This window comes from Homo sapiens, chromosome 15 (assembly GCF_000001405.40).
Source record: "Homo sapiens chromosome 15, GRCh38.p14 Primary Assembly".
NCBI classification, from domain to species: Eukaryota; Metazoa; Chordata; class Mammalia; order Primates; family Hominidae; genus Homo; species Homo sapiens.
Window position 1 is genome coordinate 54685920 of NC_000015.10, and position 27116 is coordinate 54713035.

Genomic DNA, 27116 nt, shown 5'->3' on the forward strand with positions numbered 1-27116 from the left:
ATGTATTTTTTAAATGTATTCTTTAGTTCTGCTCATTAAAATAACCCGGAAGCACTAAAAACTCAGTAGCAATGAACATCACCATTTCTTAGATGATGGTGTCCAAAATCAATCCAATAGAACTAGGGCTCCTTGGAGAAATTCGTTAATTCCTGATCATGTGCAGAAAATGTACAAAATGAACCTGGTACTTATTTTCGTGTAAGGAAAATAAGTATCACAAAGTACTTACTGGGCTAGTGTCAAAAGGATACCAAAAAAAAAAAAAAAAAAAAAAAAGAAACACAGTAGCCAAAAGTGAAAACATTAATCAACATGGTTAATGACTACAGTTGATCAAAATGTCAAATAAGTGTTAAAACCCATGAATTCAAAGCGATACTTTTTGGGATGAACAAAAAAAAACTATTAATTGTTTTTTTGGAGATTGCCAGAATGCCATCAAATTAATCTGAAAGTTAAAATTACTTAATTGAAAGCCAACAAATTAATTCTGAAAGTTAAAGAAATAAATCAAATACTGATCTTGTTTTTCTGTATGAACTGTATTTCACAATAAACAGATAGTTCTACCACTAATCCATTGAGTGACTTTGTGTGAGTCTCTCTCCACCTCTCCGAGCCTTGTTATCGATCTATAAATGAAGATAGTAATGCCTGCTTTATAGCAATGTTAACAGCATTAAAATAGACAATATATGTAATGCTTCTAGTACAGAGGCTTATTTTCTCTGCAGAGCTTTTTATAATACTTAAGGACATTTAACCTGTCATGCACTTGTTTTGTATTCTACAGACCATTCTCCAGTTCATTCATTTATCATAAAACTTTACCTACTGAAGGGTCTACCACATATTAAGCACTGTGTTAGAGTTGAAGTATGAAAATTAAGACATGCTTCCTGACCTCAACTTTTTTTTTCTTTTTTTTTTTTTTTTTTTTTTTTGAGACATAATCTCACTCTCTTACCCAGGCTGGAATGCAGTGGCACGATCTCAGTTCACTGCAAGCTCCGCCTCCCAAGTTCACACCATTCTCCTGCCTCAGCCTCCCGAGTAGCTGGGACTACAGGCATCCGCCACCACGCCCGGCTAATTTTTTGTATTTTTAGCAGAGACGGGTTTCACCGTGTTAGCCAAGATGTTATCGATCTCCTGACCTTGTGGTCTGCCCGCCTAGGGCTCCCAAAGTGCTGGGATTACAGGCGTGAGCCACCACTCCCGGCCAGAACTTTTAATCTAGTAGAACCACTATCCAAAAGACAGTTGTTGAATCAAACAGAAATTTCCAGACCCGTTTAGATTTCAGAAGCCTGTCAAGGCAGTTCTCTACCACCCATGCTTCTTAGGCTTAAAAAAAAAAAAAAAAAAAAAAAAAAAAAAAAAAAAGGACGACAGCAGCAGTTTTGGTAAGAAAATAATAAGACAGCCAAATTAACAGACCAACAAGTAACAAAAAAATAGATATAATATGGCTTAGAGTTATAGATGACGGTGTCCAGAGGGTATGTCTATATTCAGTCTTAGCCTGCCTGACAGTACACCGGCACCATTAAGCTATTCAGGTCACGTTAACTGAATAGGACAAATGGGGCAAGAATGAAGATTAATGAAGACAAACAGCATTTGAAATGGCAGGATCTAATTCTAGGTAAGCTGCCTTAGAGATGACAGCTGAAATTTGCTCATACCCCAAAACTACACCCAACAGCAATTCATTATATGTATCAAACGAGATGAGAATCAACGACCCAGAGTATGTGCCTGTCTTCTGGGAATCTCCTGCACGCAGGTGGCAAGCCAGATGCAAAAATCTATTACGTTCTGGGTATAAAGGCTTCTATTGTAAAACCTGCATATAAACAAGGCTAGTGTCCGCTGAGAAATCTTGAGTAATCATGACTTAAAAAAAAATGGTATCTTGGTTGTGTGTCAGCTGTTATAACCAGTTGTGGATTAATTCGTAACTACGCACTTTTTCTTAGAGTATTATGTATAAACACTCAAACGAAAGCGAAACAAAAGAAAGTAAAAGCAGCCAGTGGATAAACTTGCATTTTTTAAATGCTGAAAATCATTCACTGAACGATTAATTGCTGAAATATTTGGTACAGTGAAATATGTAGCCTACAGAAAATAGCAGATATAAAATGGTGAAAATAACAGACATAGAAACGGTACAAATGACAGAGATAAACATGGCCTCTTCAATCAGTGCATCCCAACATTTTTCACCTTGTGTCATACATAGAAAATGATGACATCTTTACAGCACTCGAGTAGGCTACTGGAGGCAATTGGCCGGGAAGCTCTGTTATCTAGGTCTTGCTCAGTTGACCCAGTTCAAAATGCTCCTCCAGTGAATTCACTGCACACCTAAGCTAAGGGTTTTCAAACAGTACTGTGAGTGGTCTTATGAGTTCTGAGATGGAGCTGGAGGAATTCTGGTTAGGTAGACCTCTACACTCTCACCCCAGAGCAACTCCACTTTTTTCCGTCTCCTTAAAGAAAAAAAAAAAATCCACTTATGAAAAAATACATTTGGCAAATTAATTCCTTCATTCTAAGACAACTGTAATTAAATTTTAAAATAAAAACGAGTTTGGAAACTAGTTATCTAATTATTGCAATATTCCTCAACCCTGGCTACACATTAGAATCAACTGGAAGGCTTTTAAAATATACAGATGCCTGGGCCCGACCCTCAGTGATTCAGAACCAGCCATAGTGTGGCTCAGGCATTTGGTAATATTTTAAAACTCCCCAAGTATTTCTTATGTAGCCAGGTTTGAGAAGCACTAAATTAGACCTGGCAGCCACGTAGAAAAAGGACTGAAATAAGAGTCAGTTGAAACTCATTTATCCTTGCCAGTGTTATTTGCCAGTTACGAACAACTTGGAGAATGGGCGTGTACTAATTTTCTTGTTTATTAGACATTAACACTTACATGTGAGTTTTTCAGACTAGGACATTTCACCAGGAAAGAAACCAAGGTGGTCAATGATAGCAGGAAGATTTGGAGGCTACAGTCTGAGAGTTTTGCGACTTTTTAAAAAGAGAAAATTTTAGAGTACAATAGAAAAAAAAAAACACAAATTGGTAACGACTGAGTATGCTAAGACTTCATATTATTTTCTTCACCCCATTCTCTTTCACCCTCTATGTGCAAGGTAGGAATCAGCGTTACTTGAAAATGGAAACTAATGGGAAAGGGTATAAAGCTGGCAACCTCATTAAGGACAAAAAAGGAAAAAATAATTGAAGCCAATAGAGGCCATGAAGGAGAAAATCTGAAGCAAAGATCTGGTTTGCCTGTTTTGTTTTCTAGAATCCTAGAATTTCTGGTAAAAGTGGCATACAGATGAAGAAAATCTATAAAATCTCTGGGAGTAGAAAAAGTCAGTTGTGTACAAGAGATTATGTAATCATTTTTTTAACTGGAGTTTATTCAAAGTTCTCATTTGCTGAAATAATAATACTGATTGTTTAATGAATACAGTCCATGGGCCAGATGTTTTAGAGGTTTTATATATGTTATCTCAAATATATTTTTATAGTAATCCTTTACTTACGCTCTAATTCTTACTATTTCCATGTCCTGAAAGGTATTTATTTGTATTTTACAAAATAAGAAATTGAACCTTGAGGAATACAGATATCAAGTCCTCATGATCAGAAGCCAGAATAGATATTATTTGAGTTGCTTTCTGTCTACCTCCAATATCTAAAGTTTTTGCACAGCACGTAAACACACTTAGGAATTAAAGCATTTGACAAAGCATTGAATCTGTGGTAAACATTCATAAAATTTTGGGAACTGTATGGAAAGGAAGAGAAAGCCCAAGATTTCTTTTTAATTCTCTTTAAAATAAAAAGCTTGCGGTATAAATATTGAAAACATTATGCAATAAAAAGTTGAGTGACAGTTGTCAGGTTTGGAACTAGGAATACAAAGATGAAGTAAAATTGGAGCAAGAGAAGGAGGGATTAATCAATGCCAGATGCTTTTCAGCTAGGGTCTGATAAGGATTAGAAAAAACACATTTTGTGGATCTAGAAATAAAGCGAATATGTAATAAATAAAAACATCACAGTCTTTTTAAAACAAGCTCAACACTGTTCCTTCTGGCAGGAAAAGGGAAGGGGGAAAAAGGAGGAGAAAAACGTCTATAATTTTGTGTTTTAGAAAAGTACTAGCCAGTTCAGGTCACCAAAGACCATGAAATAATAAAAATAGGCAGAAGACATACATGTTCAGGATTCAGAACACAGGGAGGGAAGAGGAGTAACGAAGCAGGTAAAATTTGCTCCTGTGAATGCATAGTCCTCTGTGCAAAAGGAAAATCTCAAGAGGGTGCTTCAGAAAGAGATGGGAAGAAATACAAATGGTGATGGGCTTACAGTACTGAGACGAGAGAAGGAAAAGTAAAACAAATCATTTTACTACAAAGATAATTATTCAGTAAAAAGAAAAGATAGGGCCGGGTGTGGTGGCTCATGCCTGTAATCCCAGCACTTCGGGAGGATGAGCCAGGTGGGTCACTTGAGCTCAGGAGTTTGAGACCAGCCTGGCCAACATTGCAAAACCCCATCTCTACTAAAAATACAAAATTAGCCGGGCCTGGTTGTGCACGCCTGTAATCCCAGCTACTTGGGAGGCTGAAGCACAAGAATCACTTGAACCCAGGAGGCAGAGGTTGCAGTGAGCCAAGATCATGCCATTGCACTCCTGTTCTATCTCAAAAAAACAAACAAAAAAAGATCTTTGAGGACAAGAAAAAGAAACCAGTTCCTTTAGAGAAAACTACATGGTCAATTAGCAGTATAAGGGAGCTATTATATTTGTGAGTGACAGAAATGTTTTTCTTTTTGATTGCTGTGATGGTTATAAAGCCGTATATATGTGCCAAATGCATCAAATTGCCCACTTAGAGAATTTTAATGTACGTAAATTATATCCCAAGAAAGCAGATTTAAAAATCAAGCAGGAATGAAAGAAAGTAGACAGGGTATTCAGAGAAAGAGAAATCTGAAAGCATAAAAACAGGACATTGCAGCCGCCAAGATTCATACAAGAACTTCCAGGAAGACAGAGGCAATTGAGTAACAGCATATTAGAATATGAGGCATTACAGGTGGAAAAAGAATAAAGGAATTACAGAAGACCTTAAAAAACTAAAATCACACCAAATGGGGAAAACAAACAGGCCAAGTGATTTTTCTCTTCTCTACCTAAAATGTCATGTCATCCTAATACATAGGCAGTGCCATATATCTACTGGCAAACACAATGGACCATTTGGGGGACTTCACCATGGTGCCCACAGAAAGCCAGGCTACCATGGTACTTCTTAATGTACACATACTGTATTTTCAACAAATAAACAACAAATAAAATGCCTAGATTAGAAGTGGATTATGTGTCTAATTCCTCCAAAAATAACATGATTTAAGGATATCACATGTTCCTATCTAGTTAAAAAAAAAGTTAGCTTTTTTTTCCTAGGAAAGTTAAAAAAAAAAAGGTGGGGGGAATATCAGAAGAAAATGATGGGGATCCAAATAATACAAACAATTACATAAATTGGAAAAAAATGCATTTACTCAAAACTAAAGTGACCCAGTAGTACTTACAGCAAGCATGGCTAGAAAAAAAATACTGAGAAAAATACTTATTTTCTGACCATGTCGTGTCATGACTTTTTCCCAAAAAGTGAGAAATTTTGCAAAAAGATGCAGTATACCCAATGCACAAATTTATATTACTATAGATAAATTTAAACCATGAATAATAATCATCTAAAAAAGTACATTATAAAAGAAAACCCCAAGGTTTTATGGTACAGAATAGATACTCCAAGTCTCCATCCATATAAGAGATTACACATTATAAGCAAAAGGGGGAAATTAGAGAAGACAGATTAGACCATTCTCATCAAACAGAGTCATAGTGGTTAAAGCAGAAAATGCCCGGAAAAACAGAAACACTGTACTTACCAAAACCTTACAGTTAGAAAGTAGAGAGTGGTAAGAGCCATAAAGGGAAAAAAAAAAGCTGACTGCTTGAACTTTAGTAAAAATCATGGAACATGACAAACGAGGGAAGTATGAAGAAAACATCTAAAAGCTGTCAATCTAATCAATGGTTTTCTAGTCAAGATTGTGTAAAATAACCTTTGCCTAAAAGGTTGTTGATATGATACTAGCATCCCTATCCATCCCTGGGTTAGATGCGGAAAAAAAATAATAATAAGTGAAAATGAACAGGTTGCTCTAGTAGCCTCTCGAAGTCCATAGAAATTCATGGAGTTCCCAGATCATTTTACAGAAAAACTTATCAAAATTTAGAAGAGCGTAAATATGTATAATGAATGAAGGTGCCGGCCAGTCCAATCATTGCTTATGCAATGGATATTTTTCCGGAAGTTATCAAAAGATGTCAAGAGTCTGCAAGAGAAATGGGGTAAGAGATGAAAGGGCAAAAATTCAAAAGTACAAAAAAAAACAAAAAAGATGAAAATTAAATACAACTGAATTGAAAAAGCAAAACTGATGGATGAGTCAAGAATGATTATTTGTCGTCCTTGGTGGTAGAAACAAAATGAAAATAAGTGAAGTAGGCCAGGCAAGGCTCAAGCCTGTAATCCTAGCACTTTGGGAGGGCAAGACGGGCAGATCACCTCATGTCAGGGATTTGAGATCAGCCTGGCCAAGATGGTGAAACCCTGTCACTACTAAAAATACAAAAATTATCTGGGCGTGGTGATGCATGCCTGTAAGCCCAGCTACTTGGCAAGCTGAGGCAGGAGAATTGCTTGAACCCAGGAGGTGGAGGTTGCAGTAAGCCAGATCGCGCCAGATACCCAGCCTGGGCAACAGGGTAAGACTCCATCAAAAACAGAAGGGAGGGGAGGGGAGGGGAAGAAGAGACAGAGAGAGAAAGAAAGAAAATAAGTGAAATAGAAAGGGAAGTATATTCATAGGAAATTTAGTGGCTGATAGAAAACGTGAATATGTCCTGGTGTCCCTTTTATTCTTATACTCTAGTTGTGGGACAGCTCTTAGCCACAGGGTCCCTTTTCATTGCCCTATCAAAAAACACAGTACCCTTGACCAGAAGATTCATTGTGTATCTGTAACTGGAGAAAGGAAGTTTGGGCAAAATCAGTGCAGAGGAGTTCAATGTCTGTATAAAAACATCACAGGTACCTCATAAGTATATATACCTACTATGTGTCCATAAAAATTAAAAAAAAATTAAAAAGCATTTTACAAAAAGCAGGAGATGGTAACAATTGTAGTTCTTGCTCTAGATTTTACCCATCAGTTTTGAAAAACTAGTAGAAAGATTTCTGTCTAATGAGGAAACATTTTTCAAATAAAACTAGACAACACGCAAAAGGGAAAATGACGGTATGGTTGCAGATGAAGCCTGAAGATTTAGAAAGAAAAAGAGCAGAGGATTAAACAAAGAAATCTTAAAGGAGATTTTTTTTAACACTCATAAAATACATATTGATTATAATGATCTTAGCAACTGAAGGAAATTTAAGAGAGTTCACAGCAGGGATGTCACATGGAATATCTTGCTTTGAATATTCTAGTCCAAACCAGAACAAAATTCTGAGTTTATGAGATGAGAAGAGAGCACACCTTCAAGAGAAAAGACTGGGGAAGTGGCATGCCAAAGCATTAAAAATCTGAAGACAACAATTAAAGATGAATCTGCTGAGACTATGGAAGGGGAAAAAAGCACCCAATTCTCAGCAGTAATAAATAGCTTATGGGGAGGTTCTTACTTTCATCTCATTGATATTAATAGTATATCAGGCCAGACGCAGTGGCTTACGCCTGTAATCCCAACACTTTGGGAGGCCGAGGTGGGTAGATCACGAGGTCAGGAGCTCGAGACCAGCCTGGCCAACATGGTAAAACCCCATCTCTACTAAAAATACAAAAATTAGCCAGGTGTGGGGGCGGGCCCCTGTAATCCCAGCTACTCAGGGGTCTGAGGTAGGAGAATTGCTTGAATGGAAGGCAGAGGTTGCAGTGAGCCAAGATAGCCCCACTGCACTTCAGCCTGGGTGAAAGAGTGAAATCCTGTCTCAAAATAATCATAATAATAATATCAATAATTAAAATTCCGTAAGTTAGAGAACGTCCAGAATTCCTCACTCTTAACATGTAAGGAATTACATATGTATATATGCTAAGAGGACCTGGTAGTTAAGGGGTATAAAAAAGTAAAGAGGTGAACAGAGTGAGGTGTCAGAACATCTTTATTACACATCTTACAAAAGTTCTTTTTGTTCCTTTTGTTCACTATTATAACCTCAAGACCTAGATAAATGCCTGAATAAGTTTCTACTCAACGAATTAACAAACAAAAGAAAAAGTTTAATAAATGAACTTGACTTTTTCTGGTGATCATATCAGTAATATTAAAAATATATATATTCTTTTACTAAAAATAAAACCCCAGGAATTACAATGTTGGCAACTTGGCAACAGCATAAATGCAGATATGAATATGTAAAAGTTACCAGAGAAGAAATCAAGAAGGTTAGATACATTACCAAAAAGAGGAAGATAAAAACATAGGAGGAAAAATATCAACATTTGGGGATCATGGATTTCATTAGAATCCAAAATACATTGTTTATGAGTAAGTTGGAGTGAGAGAATTATAAGAGGTGTGTAAAGAAATTTAAAATAAATAAGCCAAGATTAAATGGGCCACTTCGTGAGACACTGTATTCTCTGCATTCTCTGTGCCAGAAGAATTTGTCCAGCCAAGGATAAGCCAATGATCTTGGTGAGAAATTACAGCAGGACTACAGAGGAGCAAAAGATTTGGAGAGTGGAAGCACGAGATGATACCTACATTACCTTTCAGCCTAGATTCTAGGTTTTGTTCTTAAATATTAGTATGCTTTTTACATTAAAGCAGAAAACAGAAGCATAAGAAAATGAGATCTTTGTGTTGTGCTGAGCCCATTTCTCTCTAGAATAAAAGGCAACTGCTTGTTGTTTTAATACAGATTTTTTAAAAAGGAATAAAGGAAGCATAGATAGGGTGACTGCATGTTAATAAACAATGCTGAATGTATTTTTTTCCAGAACCACCATACAGACCAAGGATCGGAAAGACAAGTTTGAGTTTGCAAGATGCCTTTGCTCAAAAATATCTTTTCTCACGGTTAACAGTCATAACTGATAGAGACAGGAGGCAGCCAAGGGTTCCCAGTGAAACCCTGCCTTCAAGCATAAAAAAGCCTGAAGGCTGAAAACTCAGACTGCTGGTCCCAGATGAAGCTGGCCCTTTCCCAACTGTTTCTGTATAATGACCACCTGAGCACTCCTGGACAGAGTGGAACCTCGGGAAGCTCTCACTGTTTGCAGAGGGGAGGAGCCTGGCCTCTCCTGTTCCTGTGTGGTGACCTGGGATTCAAACTGCCAGCAGGATTCTCTCTCACTTGGCTGAGAGTTATTTTTCCTTTTTCCTTTTCACCCAATAAATACTGCTCCTCAGCCTTCTATGTGTCGGTGAGCCTAATCTTTCCTGGTCATATGACAAGAACCTGGTTATTTCTATGACATAACCATATCTTAGTTAATTTATCTCAAATTCAGTTATCTGTAGGAATGGGTTATAAGGCCTAGAGTTTGGCAGTATAAAAACCTATCAGTAATTTACCTCTTATTTTTATCTTACTTCCAAATTAATATATTGGCTATGAGAATGAGAGATTTCATGGGGTTATATGAAAGACATTTGATATCTTTGGTGTAGGATAGAAGAGCATTTGAAGGAAAACAGTAATTAACGGAGTTTGGACCTCAAAACATAAACTGACCAACCTGAAATTTTGTCTAGAACTCTAGTTATACCCAACACACAGATGAATAGTGATATTAAGACCAGTTTGGAAGACAAAATCCCTAGATTTCTTAATTTTACTTAGCTTTCCCAGTTTAGATTTACTTACCCAAACTTACAATTCCAGAGCAGTGTATCACCATCCTTTTCCTGACTTTTATTTATTTGGGGTAGGATATATTGACATCCACAGAGAGGAGTAAATGATAATGATAAAATAATTAACACTTCTTGAATACTTACCTTTTCTCAGGCTTGTGGTTAGGGTCATGCATACAATTTTTTTTAACTTCACCCATCAAACACTACATAATCTGCATCTTGTCTCCCTTTCCAAACTAGCCCCCTTCCATTCTTTCTCTAGCCAACTATGCTGCAGCCAAACTGACTTTTCAGTTGCTCAAATACATCAAGCTTATTTCACTTCAGGGCTCACACTTGAAGTTTGCTTTAACTAGAATATGCTTCTTCTCTTCTACCTGGCCTTCTCAAAGCTGATTTTTTCGGGGGAAGATGGAGTCATTCAGTTTCTAGTCAAAAGTAACCTACTGCCCACACACTGTAAAACAATCCCCACCTGACTTCATTAATTCTGTATTCTTACCCCACTTTTTCTTCAAGGCACTTACTACCTGAAGTTACCTTAATTTTTCTCCATGTTTATATCTGTCTCTTCCCAGTAAAATGCATGCTTTGCAAGGGCAAGGGACAGCTTCTCCCTTGTTCACTCCTGTATTACTAACACCTTTATTACTGACTATGGATGCTCAAATTCATTTTTTGAATGAAAAAGTATATTCATGATCTTTACAACAATAGTACGAAAATGATGCTTTTTACATTACAAAGTAATGAGCTACAGAAAGCAGTTAAGTAAGCTTACCAGTGTCACTAGATAATTAGTGGCAAACCATTTCCTTATAGTATCCTCTGGCTACAAGTAAAAGCTTCTATGTTCATCACAACACTCAGTCTCTTCACATCCCTTGACTCATATTTTTTCAAATGATAAAGAAATGTATTTAATGACTAAAATGCAACTACCCAATTTGAGAATGTTTATTTGGCTATCATAATATAAACATGTAGAACCAGGAATAACAACAGTTAGATGATTATCCTTACACATTTTTAATAAGAGTGGGCTGAGGTGTTCTACTGCCTCTAATATAAAGCAGCAGGAAGTATGACTGTCATCCTAACAAGAAGAAAAAGCTGGGAAATCTACAAAATCATAACTTTCCTTAAACCTATCAGAGAGCTGAGGTTTCAGAACAATTATGTGAACTGAGTTTCAAAAGGTAGACAGGACACCTGAACTGTTTCACTTTTGACAAAACACATGAGAAAGAGGCAAGTGCCATTAAAAAAAAAAAACAAGAAAGAAGAAACAAGCAAAATAACTAATTAATTCTTAAAGGCTGACTGTGGATTCATGTGACAGACAGTTTGAGATCCCTGGAAGCTCAGACACAAGGGTATGTCTACGTTCACTTACAAGTTCTTTTCCATAAGCCACCACCAGGCACTCTCAAAAAAGACTTGATTCAAAGAAGGAGATCCAAGAAAGAACCACTTCGTGGTGCACAGACATAAAATATGCCCATTCTCTGAGCCATCCTTTCTATGACACAAAAGTCAAGCCATGGGAGAGGGTTAGAAAATCCTATTGCCCTAGCAGCCAGAAAGAATAGTAGCAAAATTGTCTGCTGCTGAGGGAGGGCTAGGAATGTGGAGAGAGACCCCCATTATGCCCAGATATGCAGATGGAGCACGAACTTTGAGAAAAACTTTGCGGTACCCCAACCCCTAAACGAAACACAAGGCAGAGGCAGCCCACTGCTGTAAGCATTTGAAGGCTGTGGTGCACTGAATATAACAACAAAATATCCCAGCTCAATCACTTACTAAATTGACTCAACTCCCACATCCATGACCTAAAGAAGGGGTGGCCCATTTCCAGGCATAAATATTATTCACCTCAGTCTCTACCATTCTTCTATACAATGTTTGACCTCTAACTGAAAAGTATCAGAAACACAAAAAGACTAGAATAAGAACAGCATTTTAGTGAAACATCAGTTAAAAGAACTAGAGCCAGAGATGACTTGGATGTTAGAACTTTCAGATCAACAAAAAAATCTATGATTGAGATTTTAAATAATCTAGAAGAAAAGAAAGGCAATATGCAATAACAGATGAGAAATCTCATCAGAGACATAAAATATATGAAACAAGGAGTCTAATGGAATGCTGGAAATGTGAATAGACTCTTTAGCTTTTAAATTTTCACTGGCCAAAAGAAAATTCTAAAGCTATATATGTATACTCTGATTTTTACATATCTTTAATTATATAGAACAAATATCATGTGCTAAACTTAGACTTAATCCAAGTTTTAAAAACAAGTGACTTCCTGTCTGATACTGCTGTTTATCTCAGTCACCAAGAGAAGTGAACTAGCACCCCATCAACTCTTCCACTATCATATAGATTCTTACAGTTCCGATAGTTTGTACATTCCCTTCCTTCAAATCCCTTTTCCTGAGACCTTCAGGAACAGTCATACTATACCTTGCTTCAGCTATTCACTGTTTGTGTAGATCTGAAAAAGGTAATTTACCTTTCTGAACTTTAATTTCTTTATCAGTAATAGAAAAAGAATAACAATTACCAGGTCACAAATATGTTAGAATTATAAGTAATATACATCAAATGTATGCTATACAGAAGACACCCAATAAGTGGTGGCCATCATTAATATAATTTGGTGCTTGTGTGCATAGCATAGCCATCCTTATATCTGAAAATGGGGGAGAGTTGCTCAGGTGTCTCTAGTGCACTTATTTATCTATAATGGATACAAACAATATTTGTCAGGAGTCAGAACCAGATCCTCCTTAATCCAGATCAACATAATTGGAAGAGTCACATCAGACTTCTGAACCCTGGTTTCCTCAAATGTAAAATGATCAAGCCAGATCATCTCCAGGTTCTCTTGAAATCCTAAAATTCGGGAGAGAAGGAGCCAAGATGGCTGAATAGGAACAGTTCCCATCTACAGCTCCCAGCGTGAGAGACACAGAAGACGGGTGATTTCTGCATTTCCAACTGAGGTACCGGGTTCTTCTCACTGGGGAGTGCCAGAAAGTAGGTGCAGGACAGTGGGTGCAGCGCACCATACACAAGCCGAAGCAGGGCGAGGCATCACCACCCAGGAAGCACAAGGGGTCAGGGAATTCCCTTTCCTAGTCAAAGAAAGGGGTGACAGATGGCACCTGGAAAATCGGTTCACTCCCACCCTACTACTGTGCTTTTCCAACGGGCTTAAAAAACGGTACACCAGGAGATTATATCCCACACCTAGCTCGGACAGTCCTATGCCCACGAAGCCTCCCTCATTGCTAGCACAGCAGTCCGAGATCAAACTGCAAGGCAGCAGCGAGGCTGGGGGAGGGTCACCTGCCACTGCCAAGTTAGTTGTTTGATTAGGTAAACAAAGCGGCCGGGAAGCTCCAACTGGGTGGAGCCCACCACAGCTCAAGAAGGCCTGTCTGCCTCTGTAGGCTCCACCTCTGGGGGCAGGGCACAAACAAAAAGACAGCAGTAACCTCTGCAGACTTAAACGTCCCTCTCTGACAGCTTTGAAGAGAGCAGTGGTTCTCCCAACACGCAGCTTGAGATCTGAGAACCGGCAGACTGCCTCCTCAAATGGGTCCCTGACCCCCGAGTAGCCTAACTGGGAGGCACCCCCCAGTAGGGGTGGACTGACACCTCATACGGCCGGGTACTCCTCTGAGACAAAACTTCCAGAGGAACGATCAGGCAGCAGCATCTGCGGTTCACCAATATCCACTGTTATGCACCCACCGCTGCTGATACCCAGGCAAACAGGGTCTGGAGTGGACATCTAGCAAACTCCAACAGACCTGCAGCTGAGGGTCCTGTCTGTCAGAAGGAAAACTAACAAACAGAAAGGACATCCACACCAAAAATGCATCTGTACATCACCATCACCAAAGACCAAAAGTAGATAAAACCACAAAGATGGGGAAAAAACAGAGCAGAAAAACTGGAAACTCTAAAAATCAGAGCACCTCTCCTCGTCCAAAGGAACGCAGCTCCTCACCAGCAATGGAACAAAGATGGATGGAAAATGACTTTGATGACTTCAGAGAAGAAGGCTTCAGACGATCAAACTACTCCGAGCTACAGGAAGAAATTCGAACGAATTGCAAAGAAGTTAAAAGCTTTGAAAAAAAATTAGACAAATAGATAACTAGAATAACCAGTGCAGAGAAGTCCTTAAAGGACCTGATGAAGCTGAAAACCAAGGCATGAGAGCTACATGACGAATGCAGAAGACTCAGTAGCTGATGCGATCAACTGGAAGAAAGGGTATCAGTGATAGAAGATGAAATGAATGAAATGAAGTGAAAAGAGAAGTCTAGAGAAGAAAGAATAAAAAGAAATGAACAAAGCCTCCAAGAAATGTGGGACTGTGTGAAAAGACCAAATCTACATCTGATTGGTGTACCTGAAAGTGACGGGGAGAATGGAACCAAGTTGGAAAACACTCTGCAGGATATTATTCAGGAGAACTTTCCCAATCTAGCAAGGCAGGCCAACATTCAAATTCAGGAAATACAGAGAACCCCACAAAGATACTCCTCGGGGAAGAGCAATTCCAAGACACATAACTGTCAGATTCACCAAAGTTGAAATGAAGGGAAAAAAATGTTAAGGGCAGCCACAGAGAAAGGTCGGGTTACCCACAAAGGGAAGCCAATCAGACTAACAGCGGATCTCTTGGCAGAAACTCTACAAGCCAGAAGAGAGTGGGGGCCAATATTCAACATTCTTAAAGAAAAGAATTTTCAACCCAGAATTTCATATCCAGCCAAACTAAGCTTCATAAGTGAAGGAGAAATAAAATACTTTACAGACAAGCAAATGCTGAGAGATTTTGTCACCACCAGGCCTGCCCTAAAAGAGCTCCTGAAGGAAGCACTAAACATAGAAAGGAACAACCGGTACCAGCCACTGCACAAACATGCCAAATTGTAAAGATCATCCAGGCTAGGAAGAAACTGCATCAATTAACGAGCAAAATAACCAGCTGACATCATAATGACAGGATCAAATACACACTTAACAATATTAACTTTAAATGTAAATGGGCTAAAAGCTCCAATTAAAAGACACAAACTGGCAAATCGGATAGAGAGTCAAGACCCATCAGTGTGCTGTATTCAGGAAACCCATCTCACGTGCAGAGACACACATAGGCCCAAAATCAAGGGATGGAGGAAGATCTACCAAGCAAATGGAAAACAAAAAAAGGCAGGGGTTGCAATCCTAGTCTCTGATAAAACAGACTTTAAACCAACAAGGATCAAAAGAGACAAAGGCCATTACATAATGGTAAAGGGATCAATTCAACAAGAAGAGCTAACTATCCTAAATATATATGCACCCAATACAGGAGCACCCAGATTCATAAAGCAAGTCCTTAGTGACCTACAAAGAGACTTAGACTCCCACACAATAATAACGGGAGACTTTAACACCCCACTGACAACATTAGACAGATCAAAGAGACAGAAAGTTAACAAGGATACCCAGGAATTGAACTCAGCTCTGCACCAAGCGGACCTAACAGACATCTACAGAACTCTCCACCCCAAATCAACAGAATATACATTCTGTTCAGCACCACACCACACCTACTCCAAAATTAACCACATAGTTGGAAATAAAGCACTCCTCAGCAAATGTAAAAGAACAGAAATTATAACAAACTGTCTCTCAGACCACAGTGCAATCAAACTAGAACTCAGGATTAAGAAACTCACTCAAAACCACTCAACTACATGGAAACTGAACAACCTGCTCCTGAATGACTACTGGGTAAATAATGAAATGAAGGCAAAAATAAAGATGATCTTTGATACCAACGAGAACAAAGACACAACATACCAGAATCTCTGGGACACATTCAAAGCAGTGTGTACAGGGAAATTTATAGCACTAAATGCCCAGAAGAGAAAGCAGGAAAGATCTAAAATTGACACCCTAACATCACAATTAAAAGAACTAGAAAAGCAAGGGCAAACACATTCAAAAGCTAGCAGAAGGCAAGAAATAACTAAGATCAGAGCAGAACTGAAGGAAATAGAGACACAAAAAACTCTTCAAAAAATTAATGAATCCAGGAGCTGGTTTTTTGAAAAGATCAACAAAACTGATAGACCGCTAGCAAGACTAATAAAGAAGAAAAGAGAGAAGAATCAAATAGATGCAATAAAAAATGATAAAGGGGATATCACCACCAATCCCACAGAAATACAAACTACCATCAGAGAATACTATAAACACCACTATGCAAATAAACTAGAAAATCTAGAACAAATGGATAAATTCCTCAACACATACATCCTCCCAAGACTAAACCAGGAAGAAGATGAATCTCTGAATAGATCAATAACAGGCTCTGAAATTGAGGCAATAATCAATAGCTTACCAACCAAAAAGAGTCCAGGACCAGATGGATTCACGGCCAAATTCTACCAGAGGTACAAAGAGGAGCTGGTACCATTCCTTCTGAAACTATTCCAATCAATAGAAAAAGAGGGAATCCTCCCTAACTCATTTTATGAGGCCAGCATCATCCTTATACCAAAGCCGGGCAGAGACACAACCAAAAAAGAGAATTTTAGACCAGTATCCTTGATGAACATCAAAGCAAAAATCCTCAATAAAATACTGGCAAACCGAATCCAGCAGCACATCAAAAAGCTTATCCACCATGATCAAGTGGGCTTCATCCCTGGGATGCAAGGCTGGTTCAACATATGCAAATCAATAAATGTAATCCAACATATAAACAGAACCAAAGACAAAAACCACATGATTATCTCAATAGATGCAGAAAAGGCCTTTGACAAAATTCAACAACCCTTCATGCTAAAAACGCTCAATAAATTAGGTATTGATGGGACGTATTTCAAAATAATAAGAGCTATCTATGACAAACCCACAGCCAATATCATACTGAATAGGCAAAAACTGGAAGCATTCCCTTTGAAAACTGGCACAAGACAGTCATGCCCTCTCTCACCACTCCTATTCAACATAGTGTTGGAAGTTCTGGCCAGGGCAATAAGGCAGGAGAAGGAAATAAAGCGTATTCAATTAGGAAAAGAGGAAGTCAAATTGTCCCTGTTTGCAGATGACATGATTGTATATCTAGAAAACCCCATCATCTCAGCCCAAAATCTCCTCAAGCTGGTAAGCAACTTCAGCAGTCTCAGGATACAAGATCAATGTACAAAAATCACAAGCATTCTTATACACCAATAACAGACAAACAGAGAGCCAAATCATGAGTGAACTCCCATTCACAATTGCTTCAAAGAGAATAAAATACCTAGGAATCCAACTTACAAGGGATGTGAAGGACCTCTTCAAGGAGAACTACAAACCACTGCTCAATGAAATAAAAGAGGATACAAACAAATGGAAGAACATTCCATGCTCAAGTGTAGGAAGGATCAATATCGTGAAAATGGCCATACTGCCCAAGGTAATTTATAGATTCAATGCCATCCCCATCAAGCTACCAATGACTTTCTTCACAGAATTGGAAAAAACTACTTTAAAGTTCACATGGAACCAAAAAAGAGCCCGCATCACCAAGTCAATCCCAAGCCAAAAGAACAATGCTGGAGGCATCATACTACCTGACTTCAAACTATACTACAAGGCTACAGTAACCAAAACAGCATGGTACTGGTACCAAAACAGAGATATAGACCAATGGAACAGAACATAACCCTCAGAAATAATGCCACGTATCTACAACTATCTGATCTTTGACAAACCTGAGAAAAACAAGCAATGGGGAAAGGATTTCCTATTTAATAAATGGTGCTGGGAAAACCGGCTAGCCATATGTAGAAAGCTGAAACTGGATCCCTTCTTACACCTTATACAAAAATTAATTCAAGATGGATTAAAGACTTAAATGTGAGACGTAAAACCATAAAAACCCTAGAAGAAAACCTAGGCAATACCATTCAGGACATAGGCATGGGCAAGGACTTCATGTCTAAAACACCAAAAGCAATGGCAACAAAAGCCAAAATTGACAAATGGGATCTAATTAAACTAAAGAGCTTCTGCACAGCAAAAGAAACTACCATCAGAGTGAACAGGCAACCTACAGAATGGGAGAAAATTTTTGCAACCTAATCACCTGACAAAGGGCTAATATCCAGAATCTACAATGAACTCAAACAAATTTACAAGAAAAAAACAAACAACCCCATCAAAAAGTGGGCAAAGGATATGAACAGACACTTCTCAAAAGAAGACATTTATGCAGCCAAAAAACATGAAAAAATGCTCATCATCGGTGTCCATCAGAGAAATGCAAATCAAAACCACAATGAGATACCATCTCACGCCAGTTAGAATGGCAATCATTAAAAAGTCAGGAAACAACAGGTGCTGGAGAGGATGTGGAGAAATAGGAACACTTTTACACTGTTGGTGGGACTGTGGACTGTTAACTAGTTCAACCATTGTGGAAGTCAGCGTGGTGATTCCTCAGGGATCTAGAACTAGAAATACCATTTGACCCAGCCATCCCATTACTGGGTATATACCCAAAGGACTATAAATCATGCTGCTATAAAGACACATGCACACATATGTTTACAGCGGCACTATTCACAATAGCAAAGACTTGGAACCAACCTAAATATCCAACAATGATAGACTGGATTAAGAAAATGTGGCACATATACACCAGGGAATACTATGCAGCCATAAAAAATGATGAGTTCATGTCCTTTGTAGGGACATGGATGAAACTGGAAACCATCAATCTCAGCAAACTATCACAAGGACAAAAAACCAAACATCGCATGTTCTCACTCATAGGTGGGAACCGAACAATAAGAACACATGGACACAGGAAGAGGAACATCACACACCAGGGACTGTTGTGGGGTTGGGGGAGTGGGGAGGGATAGCATTAGGAGATATACCTAATGCTAAATGACGAGTTAATGGGTGCAGCACACCAACATGGCACATGTATACATATGTAACAAACCTGCACATTGTGCACATGTACCCTAAAACTTGAAGTATAAATAATAATAAAATTTTTAAAAAAAAAGCAATCCTAAAATTCTATGATGCTAAGCCTGGAGGAGCTGTTAAACTGTGATTTTCAGTAAGATAATTAAGGAGGTTTATTTTTCTTTCTAAGCCAATTAGAATGTTTCTTATATCTACCATGAATTAATGTATAATGGAATCAGAAGATAGGCCAAATTTGACATCTGTCTGTGGAATAACTGAATTAAACGGTACATACATGCCAGCACCTGGAGTTCAGGTACACTCATTTTACCTAACAGCAGGCAACTGTGTTGTTTTCTTAATCTTTTCAGCTCAAAGTTTTATTTTTGTTTATGTTGAGCTTTTTCTGTGATGTGAATTTTATTTTTCTTTATACAATCATAAAGATTTGTGATCATTAACCAATTGCTACCTAATATACACATAATTTCCACTAAATTTCCATCTGTAAAAGTTTGTATTTGTAAAATAATTCTTTAGCATCTGGCTTTATTCTAGAACTGTATGTGGCAAGATTAGTAAAACTGAAATGAATCACACATTGGATTAACATGAAACATTTGGTGTTGCCATCAAGAAGGTTTACTGAGCTGGAAATTAATGTAAAAAAAAGTTCCAAAGAGGGTTGTTTTTAAAACATTTCATGCTTTTTACGTTTCATCATTATGGCTATTAAAAGACCTTGGACTAATCCCTCTGTATTTCAGGGTAAGTAATCACAGGAAAATTAACATTATAGAAAAGCCTAAAAATTATTTTTATTACACATATTTCTTTTAAGGTAAAAAATCAAAATATTCAATAATACAATCAGTCCTTACTTAACACCATTGATAGGTTCTTGAAAACTGTGACTTTAAGCCAAATGATATATAATGAAACCAATCTTACCACAGGCTAATTGATATAAATAAGTAAGCTCCTATGCCACATTTCTAATCACAACAGCATCACCAAACCTCTAAATAAAGACTCTAAACGCCTCTAATATTAAACACTGAAATAACTGTGAGATCAACATACATTTAAGAAGAACTAATAAATTCAAGATAATTATTCATCCAGTTATTCCAGGTCAGGGTCATGGTGGCTGGAGCCTATCTCAGCAGCTCAAGGGGATAGGGAGGGACCAACTCTGAACAGAACACCATCCCTTCACAAGGCACACACACACACACACACACACACACACACACACCTGCACTCACTCAGACTGGCATCACTTACACACACCAATGCATCTAACACACACAGGCATTAGGACATGGGAGGAAACCAGAGTACTCAGAGAAAACTTATGCAGACATAAGGAGAACATGCAAAATCCACAGAGAATGTGGCCCCAGCCAGGAATCTATTTTTTTCTCATCAGTGATATAACTAAACTATGTTGAACAAAATGATGTTTTTTGAGGACTTGATGTATCTGGATTTTCAGCCAATTTTTTTATTGTATTCAAATGTCATGTAGGCTCCATTTGCCAAGGAAAACAATTTGATGTTAAAATAAGAAAAAAAAACTTCCTTCCTATAAAATAGTTATAAGCACTACTGATTTTTAAAATACAGAAAATTATTTTGTCCTATAGTAAAAGTAGTCAAGGAATGGTCATTTGAAAATCAAATAAACTGTAAGAAGAGGGTTCATAGTTCTTCCGAAAAAGAAATTATTTCAGGAAATTTCTCTTTTACTTCAGGGGACCCATGATACAATGCAATTGAATCCTATTTATACTTCAAAACTGACTTTACACAGGACCTTATAATTGATAGCTGAATAATTTTGAAGACACAATAATAGACTACATAAATTAAAAGAAGTCGTGTTTTTCAAAGACTACAAAACTTTATAAGGTGATTTTAAGCTTCAAATATCCATTTTCCTTTGTTGGCTTACCAAAAATACTTACTTAAAATATAATAACATAGCTACAAATTTTTAAATAATTTGATTCCTGCTTCCACAACAGTGAACGCTAACAGAACTTGTAGGAACCAGAGAGAATATAGTTAGGCTTTGAGGGAATCAAAGCCTGCAATGAAGACTTGTCGCTTCAGATCTCCTCATGTAAGGGGACCAGAAGGATCCTGGCACTAAACAAATTAACAAATGCATGTGAGCAACAGAGTGAGGTGGTACCCAAAGGCCAGCAACTTACTCTGGCAGATCCAGGGAACTCCTAAGCAAAGCTAAATCCTACACTATGGTTCCAGAGTTAACAGGTTAACTTCCCTAAATTGATAGAGGAGTTTCGGCATAATTCTATCCCGAGTTTCTAAGAGTAGAAAAGTTCATCCCCAAGCTATGCTGAATATTTCAAAAGCCTAACAGAATTAATGTCTTAAATTATAACAGATATTTAATAGACAAAAAAAAATCATGGAATTAAGTTATATTATGAGAGATGCTAAAAATTATCCACAAAAATAATTTTTAGATATTTGGAAAATCTCTAGGCAGGGCAATGAAGCTCACAGGGAATATGTGATTTTTCCTCCCCCGCCCTCTTTCCTTTTACTTTTAGTTTCTTCTGCATTATCTTTGCTTTGCTCTCTCTCTTCCTTTCTGTTCTTCTTTTTTTCTTTCTCTCCAACTTTTACTAGCAAAAACAATCAATCATTCATTCTGGATCACTGGCACACACTGAAAGAAAACCATCTTCTTGACTCTCCTACTGTTAACGGGATCTCTGGGGTGTCGATTTTTCTGACTGGAAACCTCTGTGGCCATGGTGCCTTTGCCCAAGTTCTTGTCCTGAGGAAGAATGAGATACACAGACAAGCGAAAGGTGAAGAAGAAGAAGAGTTTGATTTAGTGTTAGAACAGCTCAGAGGAGTGGGTAGCTCCTCTCTGTAGGCAGGTCATCCTGTGGAATGTTCAGCTGTCTTCAAAGAGGAGGCCCTGGAGAGGATAGGTCCTCTCTGTAGACAGGTCTTCTGGACATTTCCGCAGGTCTCTGAAGCTCTGAGCGGAGAGGGTAGCTCCTCTCTGCCGGCAGATCGTTCTCTGCAGCTCTAAGCACAGAGGATACTCCTCTCTGCAGCTGATCGTCTCCGTGTCTCTCTGCCCTCTTAGTCCTCTGGCTGTCCTCTGCCCTGCTCTGGCTGAGTCCAGGGCCGTTGTGGACCTCAGACGGGAGAAAGTGTGTGCCAGTTGGTCCGGAGGTGACCATGGGAGGGCCTGGAAGAGGCACCAGTAATTCCCACTCTGGTCTGAGGAACTGGCAGCCTAGCTCCCAGCCTTCAGTCCCTGCGTGGCCTGAAGGTGGGGCCTTACTGGAGACCCGCCCCCTTCTGCCCAGGAATTAATCTCCCTGCCGCTGCCATTCATGGCCCTGGGGCTCAGCCCCAACCCTGCTCCAAGATCAGAGCCAGCATGGGAGCCGAAAGAGGCCAGGTAGCAGGAGAAGACATTCTCCGAGCCTGCAGGGATTGTGGGGGGCGAGGGGACCTTCCCAGGCCCCCATGGGTGCAGGCTGCAGAGATGCCCAGTTCCTGAGCCTGGGAGGGCAGCCACAGCTGCACTCGCAGAGCTCCCACCCGGCCAACTCAGAAGGGGAAGGGTTCCTGCTTGTCCCCAGCTCCTTCTTGCTGAGTGGAGTGGGAGGACCAGGTCGGCAACCAGGGGTTGGGCGGTTGCAGCTACACCCAGGAGGGGAGATCCTGCCTGCTCCCGGTTCCCCGCAAGAGCACAGGGAGGCTCAGATCCACAGCGCAGTCTGGGCAGCTGTAGCCCCACCCAGGGCACCTCTCTGCTGCAGCCGGAGTGATGACAACAGCCACTGCCATCACTAGAACCTGTAAAAGTAGCTGATTGCTCCGTTTTTCTGAGCCCACCGTGATACATACCAGACTCAACACAAATAACATTGCTTTCACTTGCAAATTATTATTTTTCTCAGAAATTTGGTCATAAGAAACTTGGAAATATTTCATAAAGCTCATATGTCTACTGACTTGCTCCATCTTGTAGACAGTCTGGTAGCTTGACACCATTTATTCAGACTTTTGAAGAATGTATGCCTAGGTTTATAAAAGGAACTAGATTAACCCAATAGGCTAATAGGAAAGAACAATACCAGCAGAAAAATAGATCAGTGCTCCACAATTATCATATCCTCTTATAAGTCTTAGTTTCTGGTCCCGTCAATTGTTTGTTTTTTGATATTACCATATCCTATTATGTGCCCACATCCTACCAAAATGCATCAGTCATGACATGATGCAATGGTTTCTCAAAGAACTATATGGTATTTATCAGTTGGTGAAGCTCCATTCTAAATCTAAGAAATGATTAGTGATAACTGTAGCAACATGCAGCTCTTGCAATGAGAGTACAGCTCAACTTCTTCAGATTCATCCTCTCAAATAGGTTATGTCTGCTCAGAAAATAGCACAGTCCTTTTCTCCTGGGCCTGAAGAGGATATCCTTCCAACTTCTCTTCTATGTGAATGACCATCCCTTGAAAAGAGTCCAAATATTTTCACCACCTGTTGAATATGTATTCAAAACACACACACTAAAAAAATGATACAATGAAAGTCACTGGTCTTATTTTGGGCAACTCTGAGTCTTTTGTCATATTCATTGTGCATCAGATTACTCAGTCTCATTAAATGAGGCTACCTGTGTGATTTTAGGCAGTGAGAGATAGATATTTTTTACAAGCTGGTTGTCTGCCTAAATTCTGTTGCTGATGTTTTTCTGGGCTACTCCTTGACTAAGTTTTTTACCTTAACAACACAACTTGAATTTGCCACACTATAGTTTTATTTTTAAGTAAGGTCCCATTGGTCAAATTCAATTTATGTGACTTTAGCAGATACTTCTAATAGGCCAATACAAGCCAGTAATTGTTATAAATTAGAAAGCTATTCCACACAGTTCTAATTTCAGAGAGCAAAATTATCCTCACTGATCTTGAGTACTTTGTATTTTTCCATCATATTAACAGTGCCCTTGGCTCTCTCATATATTCTCATTTTGGCCACTAATGTTTTGTCACTTTGCTGCTCACAAAGCACATTTGTCTTGTTCTTTTCTTCTTACAAAATGCCTATGTCTACTCACAGCAATAAATGTGAGAATGCAAAGCATTGCAAAACAGCACACCATCTTTACTAGTAAGAATTTATGGAACAGTTTAAATCTATGATTTCTCAAACCTTCCAGCTCTAATATGTCATCCAGCATTTAAACACAGGTCTGTGCACATCTTGCTCCTCTAGAATCACAGTGATAAAAGATAAATTGTCTCCTGTCTTCTTTCACAGCCTTAACAGTAATTATAGAAGTTCATGCTTTTACATTTATAGTCCTAGTATATATAGATCAAGGCCATGGATGTAGGGGTGCCTAAGCAAGTACAGAGAAATTTTGAGAAAAGCACTTCAGGGGTTTGTATACATAAAGAACGAAGGAACTTCATGGGGGAAAATATCCCATCCTAAAACAACAAAAGCTGAAACACATGTTTGATGAGGTGCAGTAGACTAGTGCAAAAACAAAAACAAACAAACAAATAAAAGATTGATTACTTTTTTTCTTAAGTTTTTAATTAGTATGGGTATGTAACAGTTGCATATACTTATGGGGTACATGTGATATTTTGATACAGACATACAATGTATAGTGGACAAATCAGGGTAATCATGATATCCATCACCTCAAGCATTTATCATTTCTTTGTGTTAGGAACATTTGAACTACACTACTACTTTAATTAGGATCTTCCAAGAAACAAACACAAAGATGGGATTAAACACTGACAGTTTTGTTAGGGAAAATACCTGTGTGAAAAAGAAGTAAGGAGGCAGCCAGAGAAGACTTGGAGAGTCAGCAGACCATCATGATTTGGAGTGAAGAAGAAACAGAGAGAAAGTTCGCTGGATGCGTCCTAGACCACCACATGGTCGAAGAAAGCTTCAGTAAAGCCTTCAGGAAATTGGCCAATAACAGTCCTGTGTTTCCCTGAAATGAGTCAGCTTTCTTCCCTCAGTCATTAACAGGGATTGTCCTGGAAGAAGCATGGCTTCAATGCAAACACACTCTTGGATTTCAGGGTGCAGCAGATGGGGACTTAATTACACTCCTTAATTGAAGGTCTGAAAGGCACATGCCCCTCGTCACCACACCTACGTATTTGTCACTATAATCATTCATTTGCCCAGCATCCCTTATCTCCTCCTTGAGGGGCTTCAATAAAAGAACAAGTAAAAACTAAATATGTATCTTCGCAATAAAAATATCTTCACGACGTCTAGAGTCAAGGGCATTAACATTACTCATACCATAGACTTTGGTGTCTAAACTCAAGCAGCTTACTTGGGAGGGGAGTGGTTTGAGAAGCAAGGTGGCTGCCATTAAATAAATAATTGCCTATAAATCCGATTATAATTTTGGTAAGATCTACAAATAGAAGCGCAGGGTTCTTAAAGCCTATAACATAATACCTTGCCATAAGATTTATTCAGGTGCTCAATAAATACTTCCTGTATACCTACTTTGGTTCAGACACTGCACTGCTATAGTCCTCAAAGAAAGATGCCTGACATGGAGATAATACCACCCTCTTTTCATCATTCCGTTGCAGTCTCAGTGATGATAACAGTCGGTGGAAGCAGCCACAGTAGCAGTGTCCTTTGCAGTGAGAATATGTGGGTCCAGTGCCTTCATTTCAGAAACCAGCTGTCTGGATACTGGACACAAAAAATCTTGTTTGGTAGAAGCAGACGCAACTACTTCATACTTTGCTAGAACTGTATTTTATTTAACTTATGGATCAGCACCTCATTTCTGTGTCATATATCACATGCCCGGCATCGTGCCACCTAATGAGGAAGAGAAGTGCCCCCACATGAAGTAGAATAGAGTGGTACCCTCACTGTGTATGCTTTCAATCTTTTAGGGGCCTAAGCATCACAGAAGTGTAGATACCATTAAAACTAAGAAACCAGCAGATAATAAAAATAGCTATTGTTAGGAAATAGCCATGATGTTTCACATTCTAAAGGCTACCAGAATTTTTTAGAATTATCAAACTCATGCTGGGTAGGTGGACATAAATAGGAAAAACATGGCTTTGTGTTAGCTATTTTTAAAGTTATACTTGTATAAAAAAGGACACAGAATATTTCATTTAACATATGGATCAACCCCATGTCTCCGTGTTGGATATCACATTTCCAGCATTGTGTCACCTAAAGGAGGAGGAGAGGCTCCCCCACACAAAGTATGTTGGAGTGATACCCTAGCTGTGCTGGTTTTCATTATATTGCAACATATTTCATTCTATGTAAGGCTGATTAAATGTTTAGTTTGTTGTCTATTTTTTTTGACCAAACTAAAAGGAGTAAGAGTGTACAAGCTCTTTGTCAGCTTTGAAGTTAAAACAAAAGTGATAATCTATCACATCTGACAAGAAGTAGGCTTCAAAAACCTGGATATATCAAGATTATTTGAAATATAGATCTACATCTACTATTTTTAAGAGTGACCTTTGCCCTAAGTATTCACTGTGCCTTGAGATATTACCCAACGATTGTATGAAGTCATCAAGATTAACATTAAAACATTAATTATCCAGAACCTGAACACAAATTTCTACAGTATCACAGCAAATCATGTGATTCTCAATCCAGGGTACAACAACATTTCACTAAATGCTATAAAAAGATAAGAAGCCTCTTTAGAGATTTCTTATTTCAGAGTGCAAGCCAAATGAGGGGGCTTGGCTTTGCCAGCAGTGCTTATTCCACCTGAAGTTGTAAAAGTAGCTAAATAGCTGAAACAACACACTGAATACAATATAGTGATCAAAATGCATTTCTTTAGCAAACAATGCTTTCAGAGGGTGCATAGATATACTGCTAAAATTTTGAAGAAACAAGCATTAGAGTGAATGACGTTAAGTATGGAAGGTTTTTTAATATAGTTGGATGAAAACATATTTCTAATATCCTATTTTAAAACATTTGCTACATTCTGTTTGTTGGTTGGTTGGTTGGTTTTTGAGACGGAATTTCGCTCTTGTTGCCCAGGCTGGAGTGCAATGGCACGATCTCAGCTCACTGCAACCTCCA

The 27116-nt window shown here is 38.6% G+C and overlaps 3 annotated features.

Moving 5' to 3' along the window:
- Nucleotides 7404–7573: an enhancer, noted in NCBI's record as "experimental_40111 CRE fragment used in MPRA reporter constructs". NCBI's record gives its function as "activates a minimal promoter by MPRAs in K562 erythroleukemia cells, with activity observed for both the introgressed and non-introgressed 15:54985606 variant alleles {active_cell/tissue: K562}" and the evidence as "EXISTENCE:reporter gene assay evidence [ECO:0000049][PMID:34662402]".
- Nucleotides 21340–21509: an enhancer, noted in NCBI's record as "experimental_40125 CRE fragment used in MPRA reporter constructs". NCBI's record gives its function as "activates a minimal promoter by MPRAs in K562 erythroleukemia cells, with activity observed for both the introgressed and non-introgressed 15:54999542 variant alleles {active_cell/tissue: K562}" and the evidence as "EXISTENCE:reporter gene assay evidence [ECO:0000049][PMID:34662402]".
- Nucleotides 22822–22991: an enhancer, noted in NCBI's record as "experimental_40127 CRE fragment used in MPRA reporter constructs". NCBI's record gives its function as "activates a minimal promoter by MPRAs in K562 erythroleukemia cells, with activity observed for both the introgressed and non-introgressed 15:55001024 variant alleles {active_cell/tissue: K562}" and the evidence as "EXISTENCE:reporter gene assay evidence [ECO:0000049][PMID:34662402]".